Genomic DNA, 25,455 nt, shown 5'->3' on the forward strand with positions numbered 1-25,455 from the left:
TCTTGGTGCCGCGGGGCCCCGGGGCTCCCCGGAGGAGAGCAAGTTAGGGGGTCGGGGGAGCGGGGATGGCTTCCGGGGGAGGAGGAGGGCGAGGCCTGGGGGGCTCCTCGGAGGAGGAAGAGGGCGAGGCTTAGGGGGGCTCCTTGGAGGAGGAGGAGGGCGAGGCTTAGGAGGGCTCTTCGGAGAAACAGGAGGGCGAGGCCTGTGGGGGGCTTCCCGGGGAAGAAGGAAGGCGAGACCTAGGGGGGCTTCCCGGAGGAGGAGGAGGAGGAGGGCTAGGCCGGGGGCTTCCCAGAGGAGGAGGATGGCGGGGCCTGGGGGGCTTCTCGGAGAAGGAAGATGGCGAGGCCTAGGGGGGCTTCTCGGAGGAGGAGGAGGGCGAGGCCTGGTGGGGGGCTTCCCGGAGGAGGAGGATGGCGGGGTCTGGGGGTGCTTCTCGGAGGAGGAGGCGGACCCGGGGCGCAGCGCTGGAAGAATCCGCGTCCAACGTCTAGTCCCCGAAGCCTCTCGGGAGGCGGGGCGGGCGGCGCCGAGAAACAGCGGCTGCGGGCGGGAGCGGCGGGAGTGAGCGACACAGAGCGGGCCGCCACCGCCGAGCAGCCCTCCGGCAGTCTCCGCGTCCGTTAAGCCCGCGGGTCCTCCGCGAATCGGCGGTGGGTCCGGCAGCCGAATGCAGCCCCGCAGCGAGCGCCCGGCCGGCAGGACGCAGAGCCCGGAGCACGGCAGCCCGGGGCCCGGGCCCGAGGCGCCGCCGCCTCCACCGCCGCAGCCGCCGGCGTGAGTGGGCGGGGGTCGGGGCGCGGGGGGCGGCCTCGGGACCTGCGCGGCCCCCGCCCTCGCGTCCGCTCGCAGAAGGGGCGGGGGCCGCTTCCGAGGGCCGGGGGAGGTCGGGACTCAGGTGCGGAGCGGGGTCGGCCCGGAGTAGGTTCCCCACCCGCGCCCCGCGCGCCCAGGACGCGACTCCCGCTGCGGTCCCGAGAGGGCGGCTAGGGACGCGGAGGAGCTGAGCTCGTGGGGGCGCCGGGAAGCGGGGCCGGACGCGGGGCTCTGTTCGCGGCTCTGACTACGCCCCAGGGGAGCAGGGGCGCAGCGGAGGCCTGGACACGGCGCGCTCCGGGGCGGGGGTCCTTGGCGGAGGTCAGGCGAGGGCTGCCGGCGCCCCCGTCGCACCAGGGGCTGGGTCCCCGCGGGCTGCCCGGGCCCCCCAGCGGCTCCAGGGCGGGCGGGCGGCTCCAGCGGGGCGAAGCCTGACCCGCCCGCCTCCTGCAGCCCCGAGGCAGAGCGCACGCGGCCCCGGCAGGCTCGGCCCGCAGCCCCCATGGAGGGAGCCGTGCAGCTGCTGAGCCGCGAGGGCCACAGCGTGGCCCACAACTCCAAGCGGCACTACCACGATGCCTTCGTGGCCATGAGCCGCATGCGCCAGCGCGGCCTCCTGTGCGACATCGTCCTGCACGTGGCTGCCAAGGAGATCCGTGCGCACAAAGTGGTGCTGGCCTCCTGCAGCCCCTACTTCCACGCCATGTTCACAAGCAAGTACCCGCCTGGGCGGCGCTGGGGGCTCCGTGGGTCCCTCGGGTCAGCTCGTGTAACCCGCTGTCCCCGCAGATGAGATGAGCGAGAGCCGCCAGACCCACGTGACGCTGCACGACATCGACCCTCAGGCCTTGGACCAGCTGGTGCAGTTTGCCTACACGGCTGAGATTGTGGTGGGCGAGGGCAATGTGCAGGTGAGGGCTCCCTCACCCGGATCCCGGTGTCCCCCGACCCTGTGCCTCCCTCACCTGCCTCTCGGTGCCCCGTAGACTCTGCTCCCAGCCGCCAGTCTCCTGCAGCTGAATGGCGTCCGAGACGCTTGCTGCAAGTTTCTACTGAGTCAGCTCGACCCCTCCAACTGCCTGGGTATCCGGGGCTTTGCCGATGCGCACTCCTGCAGCGACCTGCTCAAGGCCGCCCACAGGTACGTGCTGCAGCACTTCGTGGACGTGGCCAAGACCGAGGAGTTTATGCTGCTGCCCCTGAAACAGGTAACAGCTGGCGGGCCCAGCCCTCGCCCCCCACCCCACCCCACCCCAGTCTTTGTCTTTGACTCCCGACCCCGTTTTGTTCCTGACACAGCCCTGCCCACAATCCTTAGTGCCTGCTGTGTGTCCCCGAGACCTTTCTGGATCTGGGCCCCCCAGGAGCCTCGTCTGTGGCTCCTGACTCTGCTCGGCCCCTCCCAGTATGAACACTCAGCCCCCACCTGCTAACCCTCCCTCCTAGGCATCTTCAGGGCTCCCTGGGTCCACAGGACCCTCCCCAGATCTCAGGTCTGAGGACCCCCACTCCCAGGTTCTGGAACTGGTCTCTAGCGACAGCCTGAACGTGCCTTCAGAGGAGGAGGTCTACCGAGCCGTCCTGAGCTGGGTGAAACACGACGTGGACGCCCGCAGGCAGCATGTCCCACGGGTGAGGCGCGGCCGCGGGGGGCTCCCACAGCATCCAGGAGGGCATGCAGGTGGCTGAGGGCCTGGTGCACCCTGACCTTCCCCGAGTTCAGGGACTCCGTGGGGGTGGTGCCCCCACCTGTCTGAAGAAGAATCCATCACACAGGTGGTACGGGCATCTGGGGGGTTGTCTCAGCCCTGACGCCCAGTGTGCCCGAGGGTCCCGCCTGACCTTGGCGTTCCCTGCACCCCAGCTCATGAAGTGTGTGCGGCTGCCCTTGCTGAGCCGCGACTTCCTGCTGGGCCACGTGGATGCCGAGAGCCTGGTGAGGCACCACCCTGACTGCAAGGACCTCCTCATCGAGGCCCTGAAGTTCCACCTGCTGCCTGAGCAGAGGGGCGTCCTAGGCACCAGCCGCACACGTCCCCGGCGCTGCGAGGGGGCCGGGCCTGTGCTTTTTGCTGTGGGTATGGCCCCCCGCCCGTTTCCCTCTTGCCCTGTGCCTTCTACTCCCCACCAGCACAAGCCCACCCCACCTGTGCCGGTCAGGTCCTGACCTGCCCCTCCGCCCCTCCATTCAGGGGCCTCTCCAGGAGCCTGGGGTGTGGCCCAGCAGTGGGATCCACTCACGAGTCCCGTCTCCACCTGCCCTCCCCAGGCGGCGGGAGCCTGTTTGCCATCCACGGAGACTGTGAGGCCTACGACACGCGCACCGACCGCTGGCACGTGGTGGCCTCCATGTCCACGCGCCGGGCCCGGGTGGGAGTGGCTGCGGTGGGGAACCGGCTCTATGCTGTGGGCGGGTAAGCCTGGAGGCTGGACTTGGGTCGGGTCTGGCACGTGCCCGCCAGGCCAGTCTTGACCTGCAGTGGCTTAATTCCGCTAGCTATGATGGGACCTCAGACCTGGCTACCGTGGAGTCCTACGACCCCGTGACTAACACGTGGCAGCCGGAGGTGTCCATGGGCACAAGGCGAAGCTGCCTGGGTGTGGCCGCCTTGCATGGACTCCTGTACTCGGCCGGCGGCTATGACGGGGCCTCCTGCCTGAACAGGTAGTTGGGGTTGGGGCCCCAGTGGCTTTGTACAGTCCATCTGCAAGAGGCAAGTTTGTGTCACCATCACAGGGGTCGTATCTGATGGGGTGTTAAAGGAGGTGATCCGCGAGGCCGTTTCACCCCAGGCCACTGCCACACTGGGCCTGAACTCTTGGCTTTGCTGCCCCAGTGCCCTTTCCTCTCTCGGGTCCTTACCCCCAGTCCAGAGGCTGGGCCCAGGTGGGTGTGCACCCAGGGTTGTTCAGGCAGCCAGGGTCCTGTGCCCACCAGCGGGCCCTGCCTGGTAGGACTTTGCGGTCTGAGTTTGACTCCTAGGGTAAGATTTCAGCCATTCCGCTGGGGAGGGCAGGTCCTGGGGCCGGGACGCCTTTCTGTCTCTGCTGAGCTGTGGCTGCGGTCCTGGTGCCCACAGTGCTGAACGCTACGACCCCCTGACCGGAACGTGGACGTCCGTCGCTGCCATGAGCACCCGGAGGCGCTATGTGCGAGTGGCCACGCTTGGTGGGTGATGGGGCCTGCCTGGGGGGCATCCCCACCTTCCCCCACCGTGGAGACCCCACTCCCAGCAGGAGTGCCACGGGTGTGTTGACTTCCGGCAGATGGGAACCTGTATGCTGTGGGCGGCTACGACAGCTCCTCACACCTGGCCACTGTGGAGAAGTATGAGCCCCAGGTGCATAGTGCACCCCTCCTGGCCACCCCCTCCCGTGCGCCGCGGGGCCCTCCTCCCTCTGTTTACCCACATCCCCCCCATTCCTGACACCCCACCCTGGAGTCGGGGCTGCGGCAGAGGAGGGATGCCAGTGGCGGGTCTGCGTCCAGCCCACGCCCTCGCCCCCAGGTGAACGTGTGGTCGCCCGTGGCGTCCATGCTGAGCCGACGCAGCTCAGCGGGCGTGGCCGTGCTGGAGGGTGCCCTGTACGTGGCAGGGGGCAACGACGGCACCAGCTGCCTCAACTCGGTAGAGAGATACAGTCCAAAGGCTGGAGCCTGGGAAAGCGTGGCGCCCATGAATATCCGCAGGTCCGCAGTGGGGCTGCGGGGAGGGGGGCGCGGGTCCGCAGTGGGGCTGTGGGAGGGGTCCGCGCGTCCGCAGTGGGGATGTGCTGCGGGGAGGGGGGCGCGGGTCCGCAGTGGGGATGTGCTGCCGGGAGGGGGGCGCGGGTCCGCAGTGGGGATGTGCTGCCGGGAGGGGGGCGCGGGTCCGCAGTGGGGATGTGCTGCCGGGAGGGGGGCGCGGGTCCGCAGTGGGGATGTGCTGCCGGGAGGGGGGCGCGGGTCCGCAGTGGGGATGTGCTGCCGGGAGGGGGGCGCGGGTCCGCAGTGGGGATGTGCTGTGAGAAGGGAGTTCTCCCAACCTCAGCGAGCATGTCCCGCCACCACCCCTTTTTGTGGTGCAGCCCCTCCCCCCGCATCCCTTCCTGCAGCCAGGGGCTCACCCCGCCTTCCCCCCAGGAGCACGCATGACCTGGTGGCCATGGACGGATGGTTGTACGCCGTGGGGGGTAACGACGGTAGCTCCAGCCTCAACTCCATCGAGAAGTACAACCCGAGGACCAACAAGTGGGTGGCCGCATCCTGCATGTTCACCCGGCGCAGCAGTGTGGGTGTGGCGGTGCTGGAGCTGCTCAATTTCCCGCCGCCATCCTCCCCGACGCTGTCCGTGTCCTCCACCAGCCTCTGACCCACCTACCACCAGAGGCCTGCAGCCTCCCACATGCCTTAAGGGGACCGTGGCCCCCACCAGGGACGTCCTGCGCCATCCGTTCACGTCTCTGCATCCATTCCTTCATGTCTTTATTTAGTTGTTTATTTATTTAGTTATTTATCTTATTTATTGAGGGGTGAGGAGTGCCACGGCTGCCCGTTTACACCTTTAGCGTCTGGTCCTCCTGCGTGTCCTCCCCTCCACTGCCTGCATGGGGGGCGCGGGGAGTGACCAGGCGGGGGCCTCACCGCCCCAGGGCCGTTGCCTGCTCAGACCTTGCAGGCTGTGGAGCAAGAGGCCCTGGGTCTCTCCAAGCAGCTGCAGACCCCAGCTCGAATTTTGCACATGGCGGGGTCCCGGGAAGGGTGGGGAGCAGTTGTCCTTCCTGTCGTCGTCTGCCGTGTGCCATCTTTCCTGGATCTTGTAGTGGGTGCACACGCGTGCACTGGGACCCCACACAGCAATACGAGTCCAACTTAATAAACACATTTCTGGGGTTCCTCAGGCTGAGCATCTCTCTCTGGCATGTGGGGCAGCTGCGCAACTTTGGGTCCTGTCTGGGGTCCAGGGTGAGGGGTGTGGGGGGGTGCCCTGAGATGCGCAGGCATCTGGGAGCTGCAAGGCAGAGCTGTGCGTCCAGGGAGGGTGGGGGCCGTGCAGTTCCTGTGGACCAGCGTCCCAGTGTGGGTGGCGTTTGCCTGGGCTGGGTACTGAGGCCGAGGTCCCCGCCACATCGTGGGCTCTGGGGTTAGGGCTGGGGAGGACAGCCTTGCCCCCGAGTGCGCTGACTGTCTTGGCCGTCTAGGGGGCATGTGGCCTCCCTGAGTCCCCTTAAGCCTTGGGGACCCTGACTCGGGTCTGTGGCGAGGGGGCCCAGGCAGGAGGGGAGGCTGCGGTGGCTTTGGCCGCCGTCTCCTGTGCTGGAACTCCTGCCTCAGCCCTCCCTGCAGTCACCGGTGACTCGGGCCGGCCAGAGTTTAGATGGAAACAGGATGTGTGGGCACGTTGTCCCGGGGGGCCTGGAAGGTCGCCCCGGGTTCACCAAGCCGGAGCACAAGCAGGTGGGGTACCTCTGCACACTGGAGGCCTCGTCTGGGCCAGAGGGGTGCTTGCCCCAAGGCTGGCCTCTCGAGTGGAGGGCCCAGGGCAGAGACCTGCACGGCTCAGGTAGGGGCCAGGCCTCTTCCAGAAAGGCTCCACCCTCGCCCAGGCCCTGGTGCCGGGCGGGACGTCCCGGAGCCCCGCCTGCCCGCGGGAGGCGGGGGCAGGAGGCTGTGGACAGGGACCCAGACTTGCCGACCTGTACGACTCTGGCCATGGGGAACAGCCACTGTGTCCCTCAGGCCCCCAGGAGGCTCCGGGCCTCCTTCTCCAGAAAGCCCTCGCTGAAGGGAAACAGGTGAGCGGGGCGTGGGTGCGGCCACCTGGGCGCAGGGCTCCCCCACCCGCTCCGGGGCCAAGCCACGAGACCCCTTGCCTTGTCCCCAGAGAGGACAGCGCGCGGATGTCGGCCGGCCTGCCGGGCCCCGAGGCTGCTCGAAGCGGGGACGCCGCCGCCAACAAGCTCTTCCACTACATCCCGGGCACGGTGAGCGCGGCGTGCACGGTGGCTGTGGTCTGGGAGCGTGGCTCTGCCCGCGCGTGTGTGCCGTGTGTCCGTGCAGCTCAGGGTCTTCCCCTCGCCCCCGGGGCGTTCAGACCCCGGTAGGTGAGGAGCCGACGCTGACTGCCCCGCCCTGGGGAGCTCATCCGGCCGAAAGTCTGAGCGGAGAGCGAAACCGCGACGCAGGACTGAGTCAGTCGGGAGAGAGCTGGGCGGGGCGGGCCGCGGGCGGGGCCTCCCGGGACCTCCTCCCGCAGGGGACCAGCGCACGTGTCTCTGTCGCTGCAGTGGGGCTTGGGGTCGTGCCGGCAGGTAGTGTCACTTGAGAGTAAGGGGCCTCAGATGAGCAGCGAGCCAGCCGGTCACCTACACCGGCCTTTCTCCCTGGGTGTCCCGCAGGAAGTTGCCGCTGGGTATGGCCGCCTGGTCCACAGCAATCCCTCTGTGCACGCGCCGGCCTCCTCCCAGCTTGCCAAGGCCATGCAGCAAGGAGGTGTCTCCCAAGCACACACTAGGCCACCTCTCCGTCAAAGGAGCAGAAGACCACCCCCATGCCCACCCCCCCCCCAGCCCCTGTGGGACTAAGGGTCTTCACAGGGTAGATCCCAGCCCCTTTCAGATGTGTCTGGTGCTGGGATGAGGGAACAGGACCAGGAACCTGGGCTTCAGGGCAGACAGGAACCCCCACTGCACCCCCGTCAGGCAGCCTGGATGGGTGGGCTCCGCTATGTGCAGGCCCTAGGAGCATCTGCGGGAGAGGACGCCTGCCCTGCACTCCTGGGTCCAGCAGCTGGCATGGCCGTGCAGACCCCTTTGCCAACATGCCCCCGCCAGGCAGGAAGCTCGTGCCATACCCTCTCCTGACCTCCAGAGTTTCAGGGCTCCCTGCAGACAAGTACTGGTTTCGGAAACCACGCTGCCTCAGAGGAGTGGGCAGGGAGAGGGAGCCGGGCTGGGTTAGGGGTGGGGTCCCTGTGGCTGCATCTCAGACACCACTCCCTCTGTCCAGGCCCAGGACATGCAGTGTGACCCTGGGGGGTCCTATGAGGTGTGGTGGGTGGCCGTAGTGGTCCTCCCTTGCCAGGACATGGTAGCCACAGAGGCAACAACCTGCTGAACCTCGGGAAATGGGGCTGGGGGAGGAGCTCTGGGCCAGTCCTAGAGCCAGTGCTCCGCGGCCCTGTACCTGGGCTCTGCACCCAGTGCTGTGAGCTGGCTCTACTACGGCTCCAAGCTGAGTCCTCCCCGGGGCCCCGAGGCTGAGCTGCGCTGCAGGGCCAGCTGTGTGGCCCTTCCTGGTCTGTGGCCTATTTTTCATGGGTGCCAACCCGGCATCAGTTCCCACGCTGGGTGTGGGTACAGGAGGCCCCACCCAGAGGCAGAAGGCCGGGAAAGCCATGCGTCTGTCTGTTCACATTCCTGGGCCTGCTCAGGGGCAGCTAAGCTTGGCCAGGGCACAGCAGCTCTGCAGGTAGCTCTCGCCAGCTCCTAGAAGGAGGAGGACACCTTCCCACTTGGCCCTGAGCCTGTGGATCACAGAGGTCTCCAGCCCCAGGTTCACACCCGTCCCTTTTCTGACTTCCAACCTGGTGATCAAAGCCTGCATTTGTAGAGGACTGTGTGTGCCAGGATTGACTACATGTGGCGTGGATGTGGAGTCCCCTCCCCTCTCAGCACATGCAGTGATACCCACAGCACATCCCAGGCCCTGTCTTAGGCTCTGGGGACACAGCAGTGAACGGAATAGACAACCCCTGTTCTGCTAGTGCTCCCATTCCCACGGCAGAGACACACGACGGGACAAATCAATAGATCCAGTGAGCGGGGTCAGGTCGGTGCTAAGGAGAAAAACAGAGGGGATGAGTGCAGAGGATCAGGGAAGGCTGGAATTTTAGAAAGGCTTTCAGAAAAGGAATTCTTGGAGCAGGTAATGTCTGAGCAAAGCTGCAAAGCGGGTAAGGAGGGGGGTCAGGACTGAGCGGTCCCCAAAGCAGGAACAGAACATGCAGCAGCCAGAGAGCATGGGTCTGATGTGAGGAGACAGTGAGGCCGGGGCAGCCACAGAGACCCCTCGGGGGAGACCCCTCGGGGCACTGCCAGGACCCCGTTGTCCCCTGAGTGAGGCATACGGAGCGGCCAACACACAGAGGATCGACCCCAGAAATCTCCTCACATATTTCAGGCTGGGGGCTGGAAATGGGCAACGGTGAGGACACTGACACCGAGGAGATTGGCAAACGTTACAAATCAGGGCATCGGTGTGTTTCTGTGTCTGTTTTTTGTAGAACCAGGTGTTAAGCATTTACCATACAATACTGCAGACGTGGGAGGGTTTTGAGTGTTACCCAGACACCCCCAAATTCTTCTAACAAGTCTTCAGAGGTTGAATAACCCAAGCCATGTTACACAGCTTAGGAAAGAATGAAGATGGGTTTAATCCACTGAGTCCAGATCTCACCATCTCTACCACTAGACCAGGCAGCTCTGTGTGGGGAAGTGTGTCTGTGTGTGCGTGTGTGTGCACAAGTGTGTATGTGTGCATGTGTTTGCACGTGTATATGTGTGCACACATCTGTGTGTATATGCACAGGTGTATGTATACGTGTGTGTTGGTGTATTTGTGTGTGTGTGGAAATGTATGCATGTATGCAGTGTGCATGTGTGCATGCATGTGTGTGCATGTGTGTATAGGTGTGCATGTGTATGTGTGCACGTGTGTATGTGCACGTGTGTATGTGTATACATGTGTATGGGTGTATTTGCGTGTGGATATGTATGCATGTATGCACGTGTGTGCATATCTGTGTATGTGCAACTGTGTATGTGTGCACGTGTGTATCCATGCATATGTGTGCGTGTGTGTACATGTGTGTATAAGTGCGTATGTGTGTTCCCGTGTGTATGCATCTGTGTCTGTATTGTGTGGCATGTATGTGTCTATTGTGTGTGTATGCATGTGTGCGTGTATGCATTTATACATGTGTATGTGTGCGCATATATGGATGCATGCATGTTGCCTGCATGTGCACGTATCGGGTGTGTGTGCGTGTACGTGTACACGAATATGCATGTATGCATATATGTATGCACGTGTGTGTAAATTCTGCCGTGACTGTTTTCCTGTGGAAAGGCTGAGTGTGCAGGTTCTGTGCCTGTGGGGGGCTGTTCTTCACGTATGTGTTGTGTGGCTGTGCACAGGTTCTGTGCCTGTGGGGGGCTGTTCTTCACGTATGTGTTGTGTGGCTGTGCACAGGTTCTGTGCCTGTGGGGGGCTGTTCTTCACGTATGTGTTGTGTGGCTGTGCACAGGTTCTGTGCCTGTGGGGGGCTGTTCTTCACATATGTGTTGTGTGGCTATGCACAGGCAGACCATGCTATAGTCCTGTAGCTGTGTGGATGCGAGCGGAGGGGGTGGGGGGCCCAGGGGAGGCCCCCTCCCCTGAGCTCTACTCCTCCTAGGACATCCTGGACCTGGAGAACCAGCGAGAAAACCTGGAGCAGCCATTCCTGAGTGTGTTCAAGAAGGGGCGGCGGAGGGTGCCTGTGAGGAACCTGGGAAAAGTTGTGCATTACGCCAAGGTCCAGCTGCGGTTCCAGCACAGCCAGGTGGGGGCCGGGCTGGGTGGAGCACGCTAAGGGTGCAGCATCCCCATCAGCCTGGGGCTCCCCAGACTCCGCACTGACGACCCTGCTCCCCGCGCAGGATGTCAGCGACTGCTACCTGGAGCTATTCCCCGCCCACCTGTACTTCCAGGCCCACGGCTCGGAAGGACTCACATTTCAGGTGAGGCGGTGGGCAATGGGGTGGGGCCATGGCCGCCCTTCCCTCCATGGATCCCTGAAGCTCCTCCTACCCTGTGCCTGGCAGGGGCTGTTACCGCTGACGGAGCTGAGTGTCTGCCCGCTCGAGGGGTCCCGAGAGCACGCCTTCCAGATCACAGGTGTTTGGGATGCTTCCCGGGCCCCCAGAGGCACTCCTGACCCAGGACTTGGAGAGGGGCCTGCCCTGTGGCTGCGGAGCACGTGTGTGTATGTGTGTGCCCTCTCTGCCCTGCCCGCAGGCCCACTGCCCGCACCCCTCCTGGTGCTCTGCCCCAGCCGGGCCGAGCTGGACCGCTGGCTTTACCACCTGGAGAAGCAGACGGCCCTCCTCGGGGGGCCGCGGCGCTGCCACTCGGCACCCCCACAGGTCAGTGCCGGGGACCCCACCCCCCTCCCCACCCTGATCCTCGCAGCCGGCTCTGACCTCCTCCTCACAGGGGTCCTGCGGAGACGAACTCCCCTGGACTTTGCAGCGCCGTCTAACCCGGCTGCGGACGGCGTCAGGGCACGAACCCGGCGGCAGTGCTGTCTGTGCCTCGAGGGTCAAGCTGCAGCACCTGCCCGCACAGGTGGGTGGGAGGTGCGTGGGGCTGTAGGGGGATGGGAGGGGTGCATGGTGGTGGGCAGGGCGGTGCAACAGCAGCTCAGTTCCCTCATCGCCTGACCCCACCCCCACCCACCCAGGAGCAGTGGGACCGGCTCTTGGTCCTGTACCCAACGTCCTTGGCCATTTTCTCCGAGGAGCTGGACGGGCTTTGCTTCAAGGTGGGCCCCTCCCCACTGTGGGCCCGCCCCAGGGAGGCAGCTGTGTGGGGGTGGGAGGGGGCAGCCATGCAGGAGGAACCTGTATTTCGGGGCTTGTTGAGACAGAGCGCAGGGCCCTGCCCACCCAGCCCGCGGTCCTGGTCAGTCTGGTCTCCGCTGTGACATGGAGGAGCCCCTGCCCGCCCTGAGGTTCTCACCCTGAGGTTCTTGACCGTCACCCTGGGGCGGGCAGCATGGGGCTGAGAGCCCCTCCCGGGGACTCCCTTGTGTGTGCCTGCCCGTGAGGCGTGTGTGTGCACACGTGCGTGTGCGTGTGTCCTCCAGGGCGGGCTCCGGGAAGGGGGTGTGCACTCACGGTAACCTTCAGTCACTGAGGAACAAACACAGGGCCCTCCCCATGGTTCACCCGGCCCAACTTCTTCTCTGGGGACCCCAAGAGGCCAGTCCTGTGGCTTTGTGTGTCTGCCCCTAGCCGGCGAAGGCCCCCGCGCCAGGGTTGGTGGTAGCCCCAGGAGACATGGGACCCACTGGCCTCCCTCAGGGTGGTGGCCTCGGTGCCCAGCTCTCCAAGTACCCAGCCAAGCTCTGGAGGGCAAGAGGGTGGGATGAGGCCAGGCGGGGCCCCGGGGCTGCCCCTACAAAGGCCTGGCCCTCAATCTCTGCTCCGCAGGGGGAGCTCCCACTCCGTGCCGTCCACATCAACCTGGAGGAGAAGGAGAAGCAGATCCGCTCCTTCCTGATTGAAGGTAGGGCCCTGACCCTGGTTCTGCCTCCCGCCTGGCCAGGCCATGGTGGGGCGGGAGCCTGGGGGACGCCCGACTCTTTAGTGGGGGCGCTGAGGGGTGCACCCCCCCGCCAGCCCCTCACAGCATCTGTATGCCAGGCCCCCTCATCAACACCATCCGCGTGGTGTGCGCCAGCTACGAGGACTACGGTCACTGGCTGCTGTGCCTTCGCGCTGTCACCCACAGGGAGGGGGCCCCGCCGCTGCCTGGTGCCGAGAGCTTCCCAGGGTCGCAGGTGAGGGGTCAATAGGCCCCACAGCCCAGGTCCTGGGCAGTGGTAAAAAGGGGGCAGCAGACCGGGCGTGGTGGCGCACGCCTGTAATCCCAGCATTTTAGGAGGCTGAGGCGGGCGGATCATTTGAGGTCAGGGGTTCGAGATCAGCCTGACCGACGTGGAGAAACCCTGTCTCTATTAAAAATACAAAAAAATTAGCCGGGCATGGCGGTACATCCCTGTAACCCCAGCTACTCAGGAGGCTGAGGCAGGAGAATCGCTTGACCAGGAGGCGGAGGTTGCAGTGAGCCGAGATCGTGCCACTGTACTGCAGCCTGGGCGACAGAATAAGACTTCGTCCCAAAAAGATAAAAGGGGGGACAGCACGGTGGGTCCAGGCAGGGGCGGGTGGGGAGGGGGTCCAGCCCTCACTCACCCCCACTCACTGCCCATCCAGGTTATGGGCAGTGGCCGAGGCTCACTCTCCTCAGGCGGACAGACCAGCTGGGACTCGGGGTGCTTGGCGCCCCCCTCCACCCGCACCAGCCACTCCCTGCCTGAGTCCTCAGTGCCATCCACCGTGGGCTGCTCCTCCCAGCACACACCGGTGAGCGCTTACGGGGTGGCAGACGAAAGTGGGGCAGAAGGCTGTCGGGTAGGTGTGTGTTGGGGACCCTGGTTCCTCAGGGGAACTCAGACTGGAGGGAGCCCCTTGCAGCCTCAGAGAGTTGCACGGGAGAGGGGCCAAAGGGCTCTTCCTGGAAGGTTTGTGGTCCCCACAGGACCAGGCCAACTCTGACCGTGCCAGCATTGGCCGACGGAGGACCGAGCTGAGACGCAGTGGCAGCAGCCGGTCACCCGGGAGCAAGGCCCGGGCAGAGGGCCGCGGCCCTGTCACCCCACTGCACCTGGACCTGACCCAGGTGGGCCCAGCACACCCACACAGCCCCTGGCCTGGTTCCCACCGTTCCGCACCACTGGTCTCTGTCTCTGGGCCCAGTTGTCCTGGAGCCACCCAGAGGCCTCTTGCACAGAGAAGGGGTGGCCTAGGCTGTTTCTAGCCGAGAAGCCCATTTCTCCCACCTCTGCCCTGCAGCTGCACAGGCTGAGCCTGGAGAGCAGCCCAGATGCCCCTGACCACACTTCGGAAACATCACACTCGCCCCTCTATGCCGACCCCTACACACCACCCGCCACCTCCCACCGCAGGGTCACAGATGTCCGGGGCCTGGAGGAGGTCAGGCCCCTGCTGGGTGACAGAAAGGGTGGGAGGTGCCTGCAGCCTGAGGCTGGGGAGGTCTAGACCGTGCGTCTCACCCTGGGGTCTGGGGCTGCCCCAAGCCTGAGGTCTGTTCAGGCTCTGATGGGAGGTTGAGGTTCTGGGGGCCCCTGGCTGCCACCCAGGCCCCAGCCCTGGCTCTCCCTGCAGTTCCTCAGTGCCATGCAGAGTGCACGTGGACCCACGCCCTCGAGCCCACTCCCCTCGGTGCCTGTGTCTGTGCCTGCCTCTGACCCTCGCTCCTGCTCCTCCGGCCCCGCTGGCCCCTACTTGCTCTCCAAGAAGGGAGCCCTGCAGTCCAGAGCCGCTCAGAGACACCGGGGCTCAGCCAAGGATGGGGGGCCGCAGCCCCCAGACGCCCCTCAGCTTGTGAGTAGCAGCCCCCACGCCCGTGTGCCCCGGGCTCCGGGCTGGCCGGGGGTCTGGTGTGGGGCCTCTTGGGACTCTGAGGGAGCAGGGAGGGAAACAGGAGGACGGGGGCAGATGGAGGCCAGGGGGGCCAGTAGGGAGTTGGGGAGATGGGACTGGGGAGGGAGAGCAGGGGGACATGGGGGGCTGCACAGTGACAGGCCGCCTCCAAGCTCCCTGCCTGGGGCTGTGCCCGGCTCTCAGACTTGCGGTTTGGGGTTCCAGGTCTCCTCTGCCAGGGAAGGTTCGCCCGAACCCTGGCTGCCTCTGACAGGTGAGTAAGGATCCTGCCTCCTGAGGTGAGTGCCTGTTGCCTCCCACAGGCTGACACATCTCTGCCTTCCCTACCAGATGGTCGGTCCCCCAGGAGGAGCCGGGACCCCGGCTACGACCACCTCTGGGACGAGACTTTGTCTTCCTCCCACCAGAAGTGCCCCCAGCTTGGAGGGCCTGAGGCCAGTGGGGGGCTTGTGCAGTGGATCTGATGGCCGCGGTGAGGTGGGTTCTCAGGACCACCCTCGCCAAGCTCCAGGGTACCTGCCCCTCTAACCCACTTCAAATTACAAGTCAGGGTCTGAACCCAGTGTGATGGGGGGAGTCTCTGGGGCCCTGAGTTCAGAGCCCGTCCCTCAGCTCCTGTTCCTTGGTGCCAGCAGCTGGGGCAGGGAAGGGTGGGAGGGGCCCCATCCAAAGGATGCCCTGGCCAGCGAGGCTGGGTCACAGGTCAGGGAGGTCCTGGCCGTCCACAGGGTCGGCCCTCAGCTCAGCCCGCCAGGAGTCAGGGAGGAGACTCGCTGGGAGTGGGAGGGCAGCACGGGCGTGAAGGTCGGAGGACAGAGAAAGGTCAGCAGGGTCAGAGTATGTGAGGTCAGAGGGCATGAGGGTCACAGGTCAGCAAGGTGTGAGGAGCACAAGCCAGGGTGCCCCGAGGAGGAGGGTGGGTGGGTCCTTGTGTGGCCTGGCGCGCACCACAGGGCAGCACGGGAGACGTTGACACCACCGGACGAGAAAGAAAAAAGAGAGAAGAGAGAGAGGAGAAGAGAGAAAAGAAGAGAAGAGAGAAGAGAAGAGAAGGAAAGAGAGAGAGAGAATAAGAAAAGGAAGAAAGAAAAAGAAAAGATAGAATTTTATTGGTGCTGCATCCATGTGTTCTCTGCTCAGCAGCCAGGGTCTCCCACAGTCTTGAGGACCCCCACCCAGCACCCAGCCAGGCAGCCCCCTTCCTCTGCCACCTCGGGCCCCTCACCGACCTTCCCACCTCATCTCTGACTCCTCTTGGCTGTGGGTCCCCAGCTGCCCCACAGGAGCCCCCGGGACAACCCCAGGAGCCCAGCCCTCCATCTGAGGCCACCGAATTCTCCCTCTGCACCTGCACCCAGGGCTCCCGGGGAGGGGCTCGCGGCTCTGCCACAGACCCCCACCCTGCAGGGGCTGCTGCACTGGGGAGGGGCAGGCAGAGCCTTCGCTGTCTCAGGCCAGAGCCCGCAGAGGCCTTGGCCACAGTCCTTTGAGGATCAAGAGTGATGGGCCTTGGAGCCCTTGCCAGCCCAGCCCACCTGTGAGGAGGCTGCCCATCCCCTCTTTGAGGCCACCCTGTGTCCTCTCCCCTGCCTCTGCCCAGAGCTCCAGCCGGAGTGTCTTGCTGCTCAGACCCCTCCGAGGTCCAAGTCCTGTCCTGCCACTCAGCTCCCCCTGCACCCCAGAAGAAACGCAGGGTGCGGTTGCATTTGATTTCAGATAAACAACAACTTCTTAGTAAAATGACCTCCCCACTATTGCCTGTCTGAAATTAACCGAATGCCCTGTGTTCTCATCTGTGAATCTGGCCACCCTCCTACCCAGCCACCTGCCTGCCCTCCACCCACCCAGACTTTAGCACCTCCCTCCCAGGCGTGGGGAGTGGCCGTGGTCACTGGCTGGATCCTCAGGTGAGTCGGAGGGAGCAGCACCAGGACACGCCCCCCTCCTGGACGCGGTAGAAGAGAGGGGTCAGAGGGCCCGGGCGAGGGCGGCACCTCGTCCTGCCCTGGGCGCCTGTGGTCGTCTCCTCATCCTGCATCTCCCTGGCCCGGGCCTGGCTCCTAGGAGCTGGGGCTGGGGCTGTGGCTGCGGCGCCCTTGCCCCACCTGCCGGCGGAAGTAGCGGATGGCAGAGATGGTGCCGACGTTGGCCAGCAAGGCTGCAAGAGAAGCACAGGCTCTTCTGAGGGCCAGCCTGGCTGTCGGCACCGTCTGCCCGCAAGACCCAGCCCTCAAAGGGCGGGCAAGGTCGGTGCGGCCAGGGCCGCAGCTCAGCCTGGGGGGAGCAGGTCAGGGGTGAGCCCCGGGGCCCCCGTGCACCCCTCGTCCTGCCAGCGCCCCTCGGTCTGGCTTCTAGGCGCAGCTCCCTCTGCCCCCAGGCACCCAAACCTGTTTTCCAGGCGTCTGGGGTATGCGGATCTGACGTCCTCACAGCCCAGGTGGCAAAAGCTACAAACACCAGGCACATGTCATTCTGGCTGAAGGCAAATGATGGGACAGGCCCCCGGAGCTCCCCTAGGACAGAAGCTCACCTTCAGCCCCACGGCTGCACTCAGAGATGGCCCCGCACACGCCCGCCCCGGGAACCGCCTGCCCCCACCCCCACCAACCCCGGGAACCGCCTCCCACTCCCCCCGCCAACCCCGGGAACCGCCTCCCACTCCCCCCGCCAACCCCGGGAACCGCCTCCCACTCCCCCCGCCAACCCCGGGAACCGCCTCCCACTCCCCCCGCCAACCCCGGGAACCGCCTCCCACTCCCCCCGCCAACCCCGGGAACCGCCTCCCACTCCCCCCGCCAACCCCGGGAACCGCCTCCCACTCCCCCCGCCAACCCCGGGAACCGCCTCCCACTCCCCCCGCAACCCCGGGAACCGCCTCCCACTCCCCCCGCAACCCCGGGAACCGCCTCCCGCTCCCCCCACCAACCCCGGGAACCGCCTCCCGCTCCCCCCACCAACCCCGGGAACCGCCTCCCGCTCCCCCCGCAACCCCGGGAACCGCCTCCCGCTCCCCCCACCAACCCCGGGAACCGCCTCCCGCTCCCCCCACCAACCCCGGGAACCGCCTCCCGCTCCCCCCACCAACCCCGGGAACCGCCTCCCGCTCCCCCCACCAACCCCGGGAACCGCCTCCCACCACCCCGCCAACCCCGGGAACCGCCTGCCCCCACCGACCAACCCCGGGAACCGCCTCCCACTCCCCCCGCAACCCCGGGAACCGCCTCCCGCTCCCCCCACCAACCCCGGGAACCGCCTCCCGCTCCCCCCACCAACCCCGGGAACCGCCTCCCGCTCCCCCCACCAACCCCGGGAACCGCCTCCCGCTCCCCCCACCAACCCCGGGAACCGCCTCCCGCTCCCCCCACCAACCCCGGGAACCGCCTCCCGCTCCCCCCACCAACCCCGGGAACCGCCTCCCGCTCCCCCCACCAACCCCGGGAACCGCCTCCCGCTCCCCCCACCAACCCCGGGAACCGCCTCCCGCTCCCCCCACCAACCCCGGGAACCGCCTCCCGCTCCCCCCACCAACCCCGGGAACCGCCTCCCGCTCCCCCCACCAACCCCGGGAACCGCCTCCCGCTCCCCCCGCAACCCCGGGAACCGCCTGCCCCCACCGACCAACCCCGGGAACCGCCTCCCACCCCCACCAACCCCGGGAACCGCCTCCCAATCCCCCCAACCCCGGGAACTGCCTCCCACCCCCACCAACCCCGGGAACCGCCTCCCAATCCCCCCAACCCCGGGAACTGCCTCCCACCACCCCCAACCCCGGGAACCGCCTCCCACTCCCCCCGCAACCCCGGGAACCGCCTCCCACCACCCCGCAACCCCGGGAACCGCCTGCCCCCACCGACCAACCCCGGGAACCGCCTCCCAATCCCCCCAACCCCAGGAACCGCCTCCCAACCCCCCCCAACCCCAGGAACCGCCTCCCAACCCCCCCCAACCCCAGGAACTGCCTGCCCCGGGAGCCGCTTCCCCCGCAACCCCGGGAACCACCTGCCCCGCACACGGCCGCCCCGGGAACCGCCTGCCTCCCCCTCCAACCCCAGGAACCGCCTGCCCCACCCTAACCCTGCACACTCTTGGCCTGGGAACTGCCTGCCCCGCACACGCCCGCCCCGGGAACCGCCTGCCCCAGATACATCCATCATGGGACATGTCTGTCCTAAGATACATTTGTGCTGGACACGTCTACCCTGGACACGTCTTCCCGAAACCCCTCTGTCATGGACACGTCTTCCTGAGAACTGGTTGCCCCGGGAACCGCCTGCCCCGGGAACCGCCCGCCCTGGACGCGTCTGTCGGAGTCACATCGCCCCCGTGCTTCTTCTGCCTGAGATTTGGGTGACCTGGTTGAGTTGGGCCAGTTTGGGGGAACTGCCAGTGGAGGCCCCGTGTTCTGGTCTGTAAAGCATCTCCCAGAGGACATCAGTGTGAGATGGGCCTCGTAGAGTGCCTGACCCTGAAGGTAGCCAGGCCTGGGCGGGAACCCTGCCAGAGGCTGGGGGAGGGACGCCGCCGTCACATGGGCCCGAACACAGGGCAACGGCGGCGCAGAGCCAACCCCCTGAACAACCCGGGTGCTTGGACTGGGCCGCCCCATCTGGACTGTGTGCTGGGATGACTGGGGGCTGGTCCCCAGGCTCCCCTGCTAGGGGATGACCCAAGCCCGGCCTGCCCGGCCCCTGCGGCCCCCTGCTTGGCCAAGATCCCTGGACAGTGTGTGCCTGGGATCTGGACGGGCTGTGGGATCCGAGAGCACGTACCTGCCCGTCTAAGAGCCAGGTGGAGCCGCTCTACCACGGCTGGCTTGAGGGGGGTCCCAGGCCCCGCCCCCTCGGAGGCCGACCGGGGAGGCTCCAGGGCCTGCAGTGGGAGCGGGACAGCCGGCCCCAGCACGCCCTCAAGCCTGTCCTCCCCGAAGAAGAAGTGTTCATAGACCTCAGGGATGGAGATGGGCACGGGGTCTCCAGGTATGGGGGCCGGCACAGGATCAGCTCTCGGGAGCGGCTCCGGGGACCCCCGCCGCCTCGACCTCTGGGCTCCAACGTCTGGGAAGAAGAACTCGCACATGTCCGGCCACTGGACGCCTGCCGGATCCTGACCGGCCGCTGCCGCCTCAGCCTCTTCGTTCTCCTCGATGGTGTCACAGAAGAAGAACTCGTAGGCCTCCGGGAGGGTCACGGCAAAGCTGCTCCCGGGCCCGACCCTCGTCACGGCAGAGGGAGGGGGGCGAGGCAGGTGCTTGAGGATCCGAGGCTGGTGGGGCCGGGGCCCGACAGCCACAGCCTCCCAGGCTCCGGGCCCCCCGTGGGCCCCAGTTGCTGTCTGGGGGGCTGAGGGCCGGGCTGAGGCCTGTCCTGAGCCTGGCTTATTGGGGCTGGGCCCAGCCACGGAGAAGCGCACTTTCTTCTTCCTGGGGACTTGGGTGAGACCCAGTGCGGGTGCCCCAGAGCAGCATCCGGGGGCCCCTGCTGAGGGCTCAGACACAACCGCCTCCATCTCCACCACATCAGGCCCAGCTCTGCGGGTGGGAGGCCAGGCGAGGCCAGCGGCGTCGGCTCTGGGAACAGGTGTAGACACAAGCCCGCTGGACTCGGTCATCCTCGGCACAGCCTCCGAGACAGGTGGAGATGAAGCCACCTCTAGCTTAGCCACTGGGCCTGCTGTAGGCAAGGCCACATCCAGGCCATGTTTGGAGGCAGGTGTGGACACAGCCACGTCCGTGTCCAATTGTGGCTTGGAGATGGGTGTAGACAGAGCCACACTGGACTGAGGCTCAGAAGCTGGTGTAGACACAGCCGTGTCAGATTGCGGCTTGGAGGCAGGTATAGACACAGCCATGTCCCTGTCAGGTTGCGGCTCAGAGGCAGGTGTAGACACAGCCATGTCCGTGTCAGGTTGCGGCTCAGAGGCAGGTGTAGACACAGCCATGTCCCTGTCAGATTGCGGCTCGGAGGCAGGTGTAGACACAGCCATGTCCCTGTCAGGTTGCGGCTCGGAGGCAGGTGTAGACACAGCCATGTCTGACTTAGCCCTTGAGACATCTGGGAGGGCTTCCCAGACAGTCGTGGACACTGTGTGCAGCTTGGCTCGGCGCGGGGTTCTGATTTGGTCTGTGCCTTGCTCTGTCACAGGGACAGGTGTAGACAGGCCCAAACCTGGCCCTGGTCTGTCTTCCTGCACAGGGGACCTGGGGCCAGGCTCAGGAGCTCCTGCAGGACCTGGCCCCAACTCCTCCTGCCCGGCTTTGGCCATCAGCTTTGCCGTCTCAGGACTGGCCGCAGGGAGCAGCGGGGAGCCCGTCTGGGCAGAAGCAGAGGCTCCTGTGTGCCCACCCCCCTTGGCACCCACAGCTCGCCTCTTCTTTCGGCTGGGGCTCCGTGGTGGGGCTCCAGGGCTATCGGGGGGCCTCTGGGAGCCAGTGCTGTGGCCAGGGGACTTGGGACTCCCAGGGGGCTCACCAGGGGGCCGTGGGGCAGGGCCCTGCAGAAGCCTCTGCATCTGGTCTCCAGAAGACGCCGGACCAGGGCAGGATGAGAACTGGCTGGGAGGGCTGGCGCCGGGGCCGAGGGACGGTGGAGCTTCTGCCCGTGCGGACGTGCTGGGTGTCTGCTGACCGGTCCCCAGGGCCAAGACAGGCTCACCCTGAGACCTGCTGACCGGCTGCTGTGTGGCCACGTCCTCCTCCTCGCAGCCCCGCCGGCTCCGCCCTCCTGCAGCTAGCTGCCCAGTTGGGAGAGGTGGGGCCCTGGGGGGACTGCTGCCACTGCTGTCCCCTTGGTCAATGTCACTGGACAAGAGCTCGTCCCCAGAGGCCAGGCCGGCCTGCAGGAGGCCACACTCATCGGCGGTGGCTGAGAACTCGGCCCAGTCCTGGTCACTCAGCTGGACGCTGTACTGGAAATTTTCCATGTGGAGTCAGCAGAGGCACTGGAGGGTAGCAGAATGGGTCCGGTGGGGTCTTCATGGGTTCAGGCCCCGGGCACCACCCTGCACATGCCGCCCCTGCCCCACGAGACCTGGGAGCTCCCACCGCCTCGGGGCTCCATCCATGCCCTGAAAGGAAGAGAACAGCATCTCGAGGGGAGGGCCGCGCTTCCTTCAAACCTAGTGGTGACGATTTCCAAGTTAGAAGATCCCCAGCTCCCATGACCCTAGTTCCCAACGCACCCCAAATGATAGCTGTGTGATGATGCGGTGTTACATTCCTAGAATCAAGGATGATTTTCTACCAGTGAAGCTATAAAACCAGCCGTCCTCAGGTTTGAATGCTCTTTCCCATCACACCTCAGCTGGGGCAGCCTCACCTCCTCCACCTTCTGCCAGAGCTGTCTTTGCACGGCAAAGCACCTTTCAGGGTCCACCCGATGGGACCAGTGCCCTCGGGGGTGGGCAGCCCTGGTCCATCCCAGTGCGCCCCAGCTGGCAGCCGGCCACAGGAAAGGTTTACAGGGCCCAGCAGGTGCCCAGCCCTCGGCGATGACCTTCCGATCGCCTTGGCTGGGCCAGGCTATTCTCTGAGCTCACCAGGTGGTGCTGGCCAGAGCTGGCCCAAGTCAGCACGGAGAGCCTGGGCAGGAGGTGCAGGCTGCGGTGGGTCTCTTGACCCAGCAGCCACCTCGGGCCGTCCTCGAGGTCTGCACCACGATCCAGGCCTGCCCGGCTGCCCGGGGTGCCTTCCTTTGCCCCGTCTCAGAGAAGCAAGGAGACCCTAGCCAGCTGTCGGGTCTACCCCTAGAGGGGGCCGCCCTCGGCCTCAGGTCAGCCCCTCTGGACCCAGGGGTGGGAAGTCACTTTGGTGGGGACGGTCCTGAGACGGAGGCCAGGGCATGGTGGCTTCCCACCCACTGACCTTCGCCCTCCTCTCTGGTCTCTTGAGAAGCCTCTGTGGGGGTTGTTACCATTGGGGCCCCTTGGGTCAGGAGCCAGCAGCTGACCATGTCCTACCTGGGTCCCGGCGGCCGAGCTGGGCGTCTGAGCTGCCCGTCCTGGGTCGGCATGGTGCTAGGCTGTGGCTGCACAGGCTCCTCCCCCTGTGCCAAAAATACCACGTCCCTGTGGCCACATGAGACTCGTGCCAGCCATCAGGGTCCAGGCCACAAATAGATGGCATTTGAGGGCCCTCCAGCTACAGTACATGAGGACGACTTCCTGGCACGGGGCCGGGCTGAGGTGGGGTCAGACACGGGCCGGAGGACGCTGACCAGCAGGCAGCACCGCTCAGTTCCCGTGCCTCCGCCACCCGCGGTGAAACCTCAGACCTGCCCTCCCTGCCGCCCCTGGAATGTTCCTGGCCTGCTTCTGAGATGGCCTCTGTGTCCCGGCCAGGGCTTGTGCCTCCCGGTCCTGACCTCTGGGGCTCATGTGAGGGTGAGTGACGCCAGGGAGCGTCAGCGTCAGAGCCCCCACGCCTGGCTCCGCTCAGCTGCACCCTCCAGGCCGTCCTGACCTTGGGGTTCACGGTGCCCATTCCCAGGCAGGTTCCGAGCCAGAGGGGACAAGAGGACAGGGCGAGGGATCCAACAATAAACATCCGATCAAACAGGCAGGTGAGCTCAGCTCCGATGGCAGCACGTCCTGAGAAAGAAGTAGGGAGAGGCGTGGCTGGAGGGGCCGGAGACCTCTCTAAGGAGGAGGCTTGGACCGAGAAGCTCCTGAGAGTTCAGGGCACGATACTAGGAGACTGGGGTGTGCGCCGTGAGGGGTGGCAGTGAGAGCTGGGCGTGCAGAAAGTGCATGCCTGGTGCCATACGATGCTTTTCCAGAAAGTAGCTGCCACGAGACCACAGGACAAGGCGTCCCGCCACGCAGGGCCGGCCTGACTTGAGCTTTCACAAGTGGAATCGCACCCTGCATCCCTTTCTGCATCTGTGTCCTCGGGCCCACGCCGTGCTCTGGAGACAGCTGCCATGAGGGCCGCGGGCGACTGCCCGGGCGGGTGAGGCTGTCCTGTGTGAACGTGCCACGCGGCTGTGCCGTTTCCCGTGGGTGGCGATGTGGGTCGTTTCCAGTTTGCAGCTACCACACACGGTGCGGCTGTGAATATCTGGGAACATTCCTTTCGGCGAACCTCTCACATTTCCAGGACGCTTGGGGTCAGCGTCAGAAGGTGCCGCCCCGTTCCCCAGGTGGCTGCGTGGCCGTGCTCCAGGCTGGAGTTTCCCAGGAGCTGCGCATCTGCTTCTGTGTGGCGTCTCTCGGCTGCGGCCGCCTCCCTGTGCCTCCTCCCTGTGGGTCTGTAGGAGTCCTTACGTATTCTGGACGAGCTCTTCATTGAACTCTTGTACTGGGGAATCTTCTCCCTCTCTGCCTCCTCTTTCCACCCTCATAACGGTACCTTTCTTTGCTTGTTTGTTTGTTTGAGACGGAGTTTCACTCTTGTCGCCCAGGCTGATGTGCAATGGCAAAATCTCAGCTCACTGCAACCTCCGCCTCCCAGGTTGAAGAGATTCTCCTGCCTCAGCCTCCTGAGTAGCTGGGATTACAGGCAGGCGCCACCATGCCCGGCTAATTTTGTATTTTTAGTAGGGACCAGGTTTCTCCATGTTTCCCAGGCTGCTCTCAAACTCCTGACCTCAGGTGTGAGCCACCGCGCCCGGCCTATTCCTTCATTTAAAAAAAAACTTCACTGTGTCGCCTTTCACGCTCGGCTCTGCCACACACTTGGCATTGACTTCTGTGAGAGGTGGGAGGTGGGGGGCACGGGACTCCTGTCTTCACGTGGACGCTCAGCTGACCCAGCAGCACATCCTGGGTGGCATGCACGTGGCATCCGGGCCCCACGTGGACCATCACGAGATGAGAAGGCTTTGGGGCTTGGGACAGGAGAGGCAGGGAGGCCGACGGCAAGGCTGTGGCCAGGGAGCTGTGCGAGGAGGTCTAGGGTGGCGGAGGGAGGGGCCCTACCCTGAGGCCTTTTCATGACGAGCTGTCACTGGAGTTGGCCTGAGGCTTCAGGGGAAGCCCTTCCCTGTATCCAGCCCAGTCATGACCCTTCCTGGTGGGAGGGTGGCTGTAGGATGAGGAATAGTCAGGGCCCCCCTGCACTTCAGGCAGCAGCACCCCTCAGTCCAGGGAGGAGGAATAACCCAGTTCTACGGTGGAGGCAGAGACCAGACCCGGGCCTGGGGGGCAAGTCGGGGGGCGGGGGGAGGTCGGGCAGGGTCCCCTGGGAGGATGGGGACGTGCTGTGCCCCTAGCGGCCACCAGAGGGCACCAGGACACCACTGCGGTCGGCTCAGCGGCTCCTGCCCTGGTCAGGGGGCGCCAGGTCCTGCCCCTCCTGGGGAGGGCGGGGGGCGAGAAGGGCGATTCTGGGGGCGGTTGCTCGGCTCCCTTTCCTGAAGCCATGTGGCCCGGGTGAAAGTCCCGGACCTTGAGACAGTCGGGGAGCTGATCCATGAGCAACCATCGCATGCCGGGTACAGCCGCAAACAATGTACACAGCTGCGGAATTATTTTTCTTTCTTTTTTCTTTTCTTTCTTTTTTCCTTCTTATTTATTTATTTATTTATTTATTTATTTATTTATTTATTTATTTGAGATGGGGTTTCGCTCTGTCGCCCAGACTGGAGTGCAGTGGCGCAATCCCAGCTCACTGCAGCCTCCACCTCCCAGGCTCAAGTGATCCTCCAGCCTCAGCCTTCTGAGTAGCTGGGATCACAGTCGCCATCGCCAAGCCCGGCCTCCTTTTCATTTTTTATAGCTTTATTGAAGTATAATTAACACGTAATACACTTCAAGTATTTATTTATTTAACTATCTATCTATCTATCGTTTGAGACGGAGTCTCACTCTGTCGCCCAGGCTGGATGGAGTGCAGTGGCTCCATCTCGGCTCACTACAACCTCCGCCTCCCGGGTTCCAGCGATTCTCCTGCCTCAGACTCCTGAGTAGCTGGGACCACAGGCGCCCACCGTGTCCGGAGAATTTTTGTATTTTTAGTAGAGATGGGGTTTTGCCATGTTGGCCAGGCTGGTCTCGAACTCCTGATCTCAAGTGATCTGCCCGCCTTGGCCTCCCAAAGTGCTGGAATGACAGGTGTGAGCCGCCCCGGTCTTCAAGTATTTAAAATGTGCAGTTCGCTAGGTTTGGACACATATACCCCCGGGAGCCACCACAAACGTCTCCAACACTCCCAAACGTTCCTTTGGCCCCTTGGTGATTCTTTCCCTCCCCACACTCAGGCAACCCCGAATCCGCTGTCCCTGCAGAGTAAGTTGCATTGGCTAGAATTGTCCGCTGGGCCCTTCTTCGTACAGGACAGAAAAGTACAACACGCCTGTCCTCTGTGACAGCGTTTCTTAGAGATTCACCCACACTGTGGTATATGTCAATTGTTGCTTTTCATACAAAGTGTTC

General features: G+C 64.9%; 3 protein-coding genes across 21 annotated transcripts, besides 5 other annotated features; 2 read left to right on the forward strand and 1 right to left on the reverse strand.

Moving 5' to 3' along the window:
• Positions 455-764: a silencer, noted in NCBI's record as "silent region_8". NCBI's record gives its function as "represses an Ori minimal core promoter by ATAC-STARR-seq in GM12878 lymphoblastoid cells {active_cell/tissue: GM12878}" and the evidence as "EXISTENCE:reporter gene assay evidence [ECO:0000049][PMID:35858748]".
• On the forward strand, positions 561-5,696 carry KLHL17 (kelch like family member 17). Of its 6 annotated transcripts, NM_198317.3 has the most exons (12): positions 561-777; positions 1,270-1,529; positions 1,606-1,727; positions 1,803-2,024; positions 2,332-2,448; positions 2,681-2,894; positions 3,086-3,230; positions 3,314-3,481; positions 3,897-3,985; positions 4,084-4,157; positions 4,326-4,507; positions 4,940-5,696. In NM_198317.3, the coding sequence occupies exons 1-12, from the start codon at positions 671-673 to the stop codon at positions 5,166-5,168; spliced, it is 1,929 nt and encodes a 642-aa protein (NP_938073.1). In that variant the 5' UTR covers positions 561-670; the 3' UTR covers positions 5,169-5,696. The 6 variants fall into 6 exon arrangements, with proteins under 6 accessions (NP_938073.1, XP_006710663.2, XP_006710664.2 ...); XM_006710600.4 differs by lacking the exon at positions 561-777 and having other exon boundaries at positions 1,098-1,529; positions 2,263-2,448; XM_047419224.1 differs by lacking the exon at positions 561-777 and having other exon boundaries at positions 1,246-1,529; positions 1,606-1,706; positions 2,263-2,448.
• Positions 785-1,114: a silencer, noted in NCBI's record as "silent region_9". NCBI's record gives its function as "represses an Ori minimal core promoter by ATAC-STARR-seq in GM12878 lymphoblastoid cells {active_cell/tissue: GM12878}" and the evidence as "EXISTENCE:reporter gene assay evidence [ECO:0000049][PMID:35858748]".
• Positions 6,351-6,670: a silencer, noted in NCBI's record as "silent region_10". NCBI's record gives its function as "represses an Ori minimal core promoter by ATAC-STARR-seq in GM12878 lymphoblastoid cells {active_cell/tissue: GM12878}" and the evidence as "EXISTENCE:reporter gene assay evidence [ECO:0000049][PMID:35858748]".
• On the forward strand, positions 6,459-15,842 carry PLEKHN1 (pleckstrin homology domain containing N1). Of its 10 annotated transcripts, none has more exons than NM_001367552.1 (16): positions 6,459-6,591; positions 6,681-6,780; positions 10,254-10,400; positions 10,498-10,578; positions 10,663-10,735; positions 10,856-10,983; positions 11,054-11,185; positions 11,301-11,381; positions 12,052-12,127; positions 12,265-12,401; positions 12,838-12,987; positions 13,163-13,303; positions 13,477-13,617; positions 13,810-14,028; positions 14,293-14,341; positions 14,419-15,842. In NM_001367552.1, the coding sequence occupies exons 1-16, from the start codon at positions 6,509-6,511 to the stop codon at positions 14,550-14,552; spliced, it is 1,872 nt and encodes a 623-aa protein (NP_001354481.1). In that variant the 5' UTR covers positions 6,459-6,508; the 3' UTR covers positions 14,553-15,842. The 10 variants fall into 10 exon arrangements, with proteins under 10 accessions (NP_001354481.1, NP_115505.2, NP_001397626.1 ...); NM_032129.3 differs by having other exon boundaries at positions 11,090-11,185; NM_001410697.1 differs by having other exon boundaries at positions 10,663-10,983.
• Positions 6,941-7,100: a silencer, noted in NCBI's record as "silent region_11". NCBI's record gives its function as "represses an Ori minimal core promoter by ATAC-STARR-seq in GM12878 lymphoblastoid cells {active_cell/tissue: GM12878}" and the evidence as "EXISTENCE:reporter gene assay evidence [ECO:0000049][PMID:35858748]".
• On the reverse strand, positions 15,175-22,070 carry PERM1 (PPARGC1 and ESRR induced regulator, muscle 1). Of its 5 annotated transcripts, NM_001291367.2 has the most exons (5): positions 22,042-22,070; positions 21,114-21,150; positions 18,858-20,634; positions 16,476-16,601; positions 15,175-16,246 (listed from the first exon to the last, which is right to left on the reverse strand). In NM_001291367.2, exons 2-5 carry the CDS (start codon positions 21,141-21,143, stop codon positions 16,149-16,151), a joined length of 2,031 nt encoding a protein of 676 aa, NP_001278296.2. In that variant the 5' UTR covers positions 21,144-21,150; positions 22,042-22,070; the 3' UTR covers positions 15,175-16,148. The 5 variants fall into 5 exon arrangements, with proteins under 5 accessions (NP_001278296.2, NP_001278295.1, NP_001381642.1 ...); NM_001291366.2 differs by lacking the exon at positions 21,114-21,150 and having other exon boundaries at positions 18,858-21,024; NM_001394713.1 differs by having other exon boundaries at positions 18,858-21,150.
• Positions 24,314-24,403: a silencer, noted in NCBI's record as "silent region_12". NCBI's record gives its function as "represses an Ori minimal core promoter by ATAC-STARR-seq in GM12878 lymphoblastoid cells {active_cell/tissue: GM12878}" and the evidence as "EXISTENCE:reporter gene assay evidence [ECO:0000049][PMID:35858748]".

The sequence above is a fragment of the Homo sapiens genome, chromosome 1 (assembly GCF_000001405.40).
Source record: "Homo sapiens chromosome 1, GRCh38.p14 Primary Assembly".
In the NCBI taxonomy this organism is placed as follows: Eukaryota; Metazoa; Chordata; class Mammalia; order Primates; family Hominidae; genus Homo; species Homo sapiens.

Excerpts from the sequence above, each read along its gene's own strand:
- KLHL17 (NM_198317.3), top strand. The coding sequence starts at position 671 with ATGCAGCCCCGCAGCGAGCGCCCGGCCGGCAGGACGCAGAGCCCGGAG. Across the intron at positions 2,449-2,680 it reads GCAGGCAGCATGTCCCACGG|CTCATGAAGTGTGTGCGGCT; the intron begins GTGAGGCGCGGC and ends CCTGCACCCCAG. Across the intron at positions 3,231-3,313 it reads CGGCTCTATGCTGTGGGCGG|CTATGATGGGACCTCAGACC; the intron begins GTAAGCCTGGAG and ends TAATTCCGCTAG.
- PLEKHN1 (NM_001410697.1), top strand. The coding sequence starts at position 6,509 with ATGGGGAACAGCCACTGTGTCCCTCAGGCCCCCAGGAGGCTCCGGGCC. Across the intron at positions 13,304-13,476 it reads TGCACCTGGACCTGACCCAG|CTGCACAGGCTGAGCCTGGA; the intron begins GTGGGCCCAGCA and ends TCTGCCCTGCAG. Across the intron at positions 14,342-14,418 it reads ACCCTGGCTGCCTCTGACAG|ATGGTCGGTCCCCCAGGAGG; the intron begins GTGAGTAAGGAT and ends CTTCCCTACCAG.
- PERM1 (NM_001291366.2), bottom strand. The coding sequence starts at position 21,006 with ATGGAAAATTTCCAGTACAGCGTCCAGCTGAGTGACCAGGACTGGGCC. Across the intron at positions 16,602-18,857 it reads CCTGGCTCTTAGACGGGCAG|GGGAGCTCCGGGGGCCTGTC; the intron begins GTACGTGCTCTC and ends CTTCTGTCCTAG. Across the intron at positions 16,247-16,475 it reads CCCAGACGCCTGGAAAACAG|CCTTGCTGGCCAACGTCGGC; the intron begins GTTTGGGTGCCT and ends CTTCTCTTGCAG.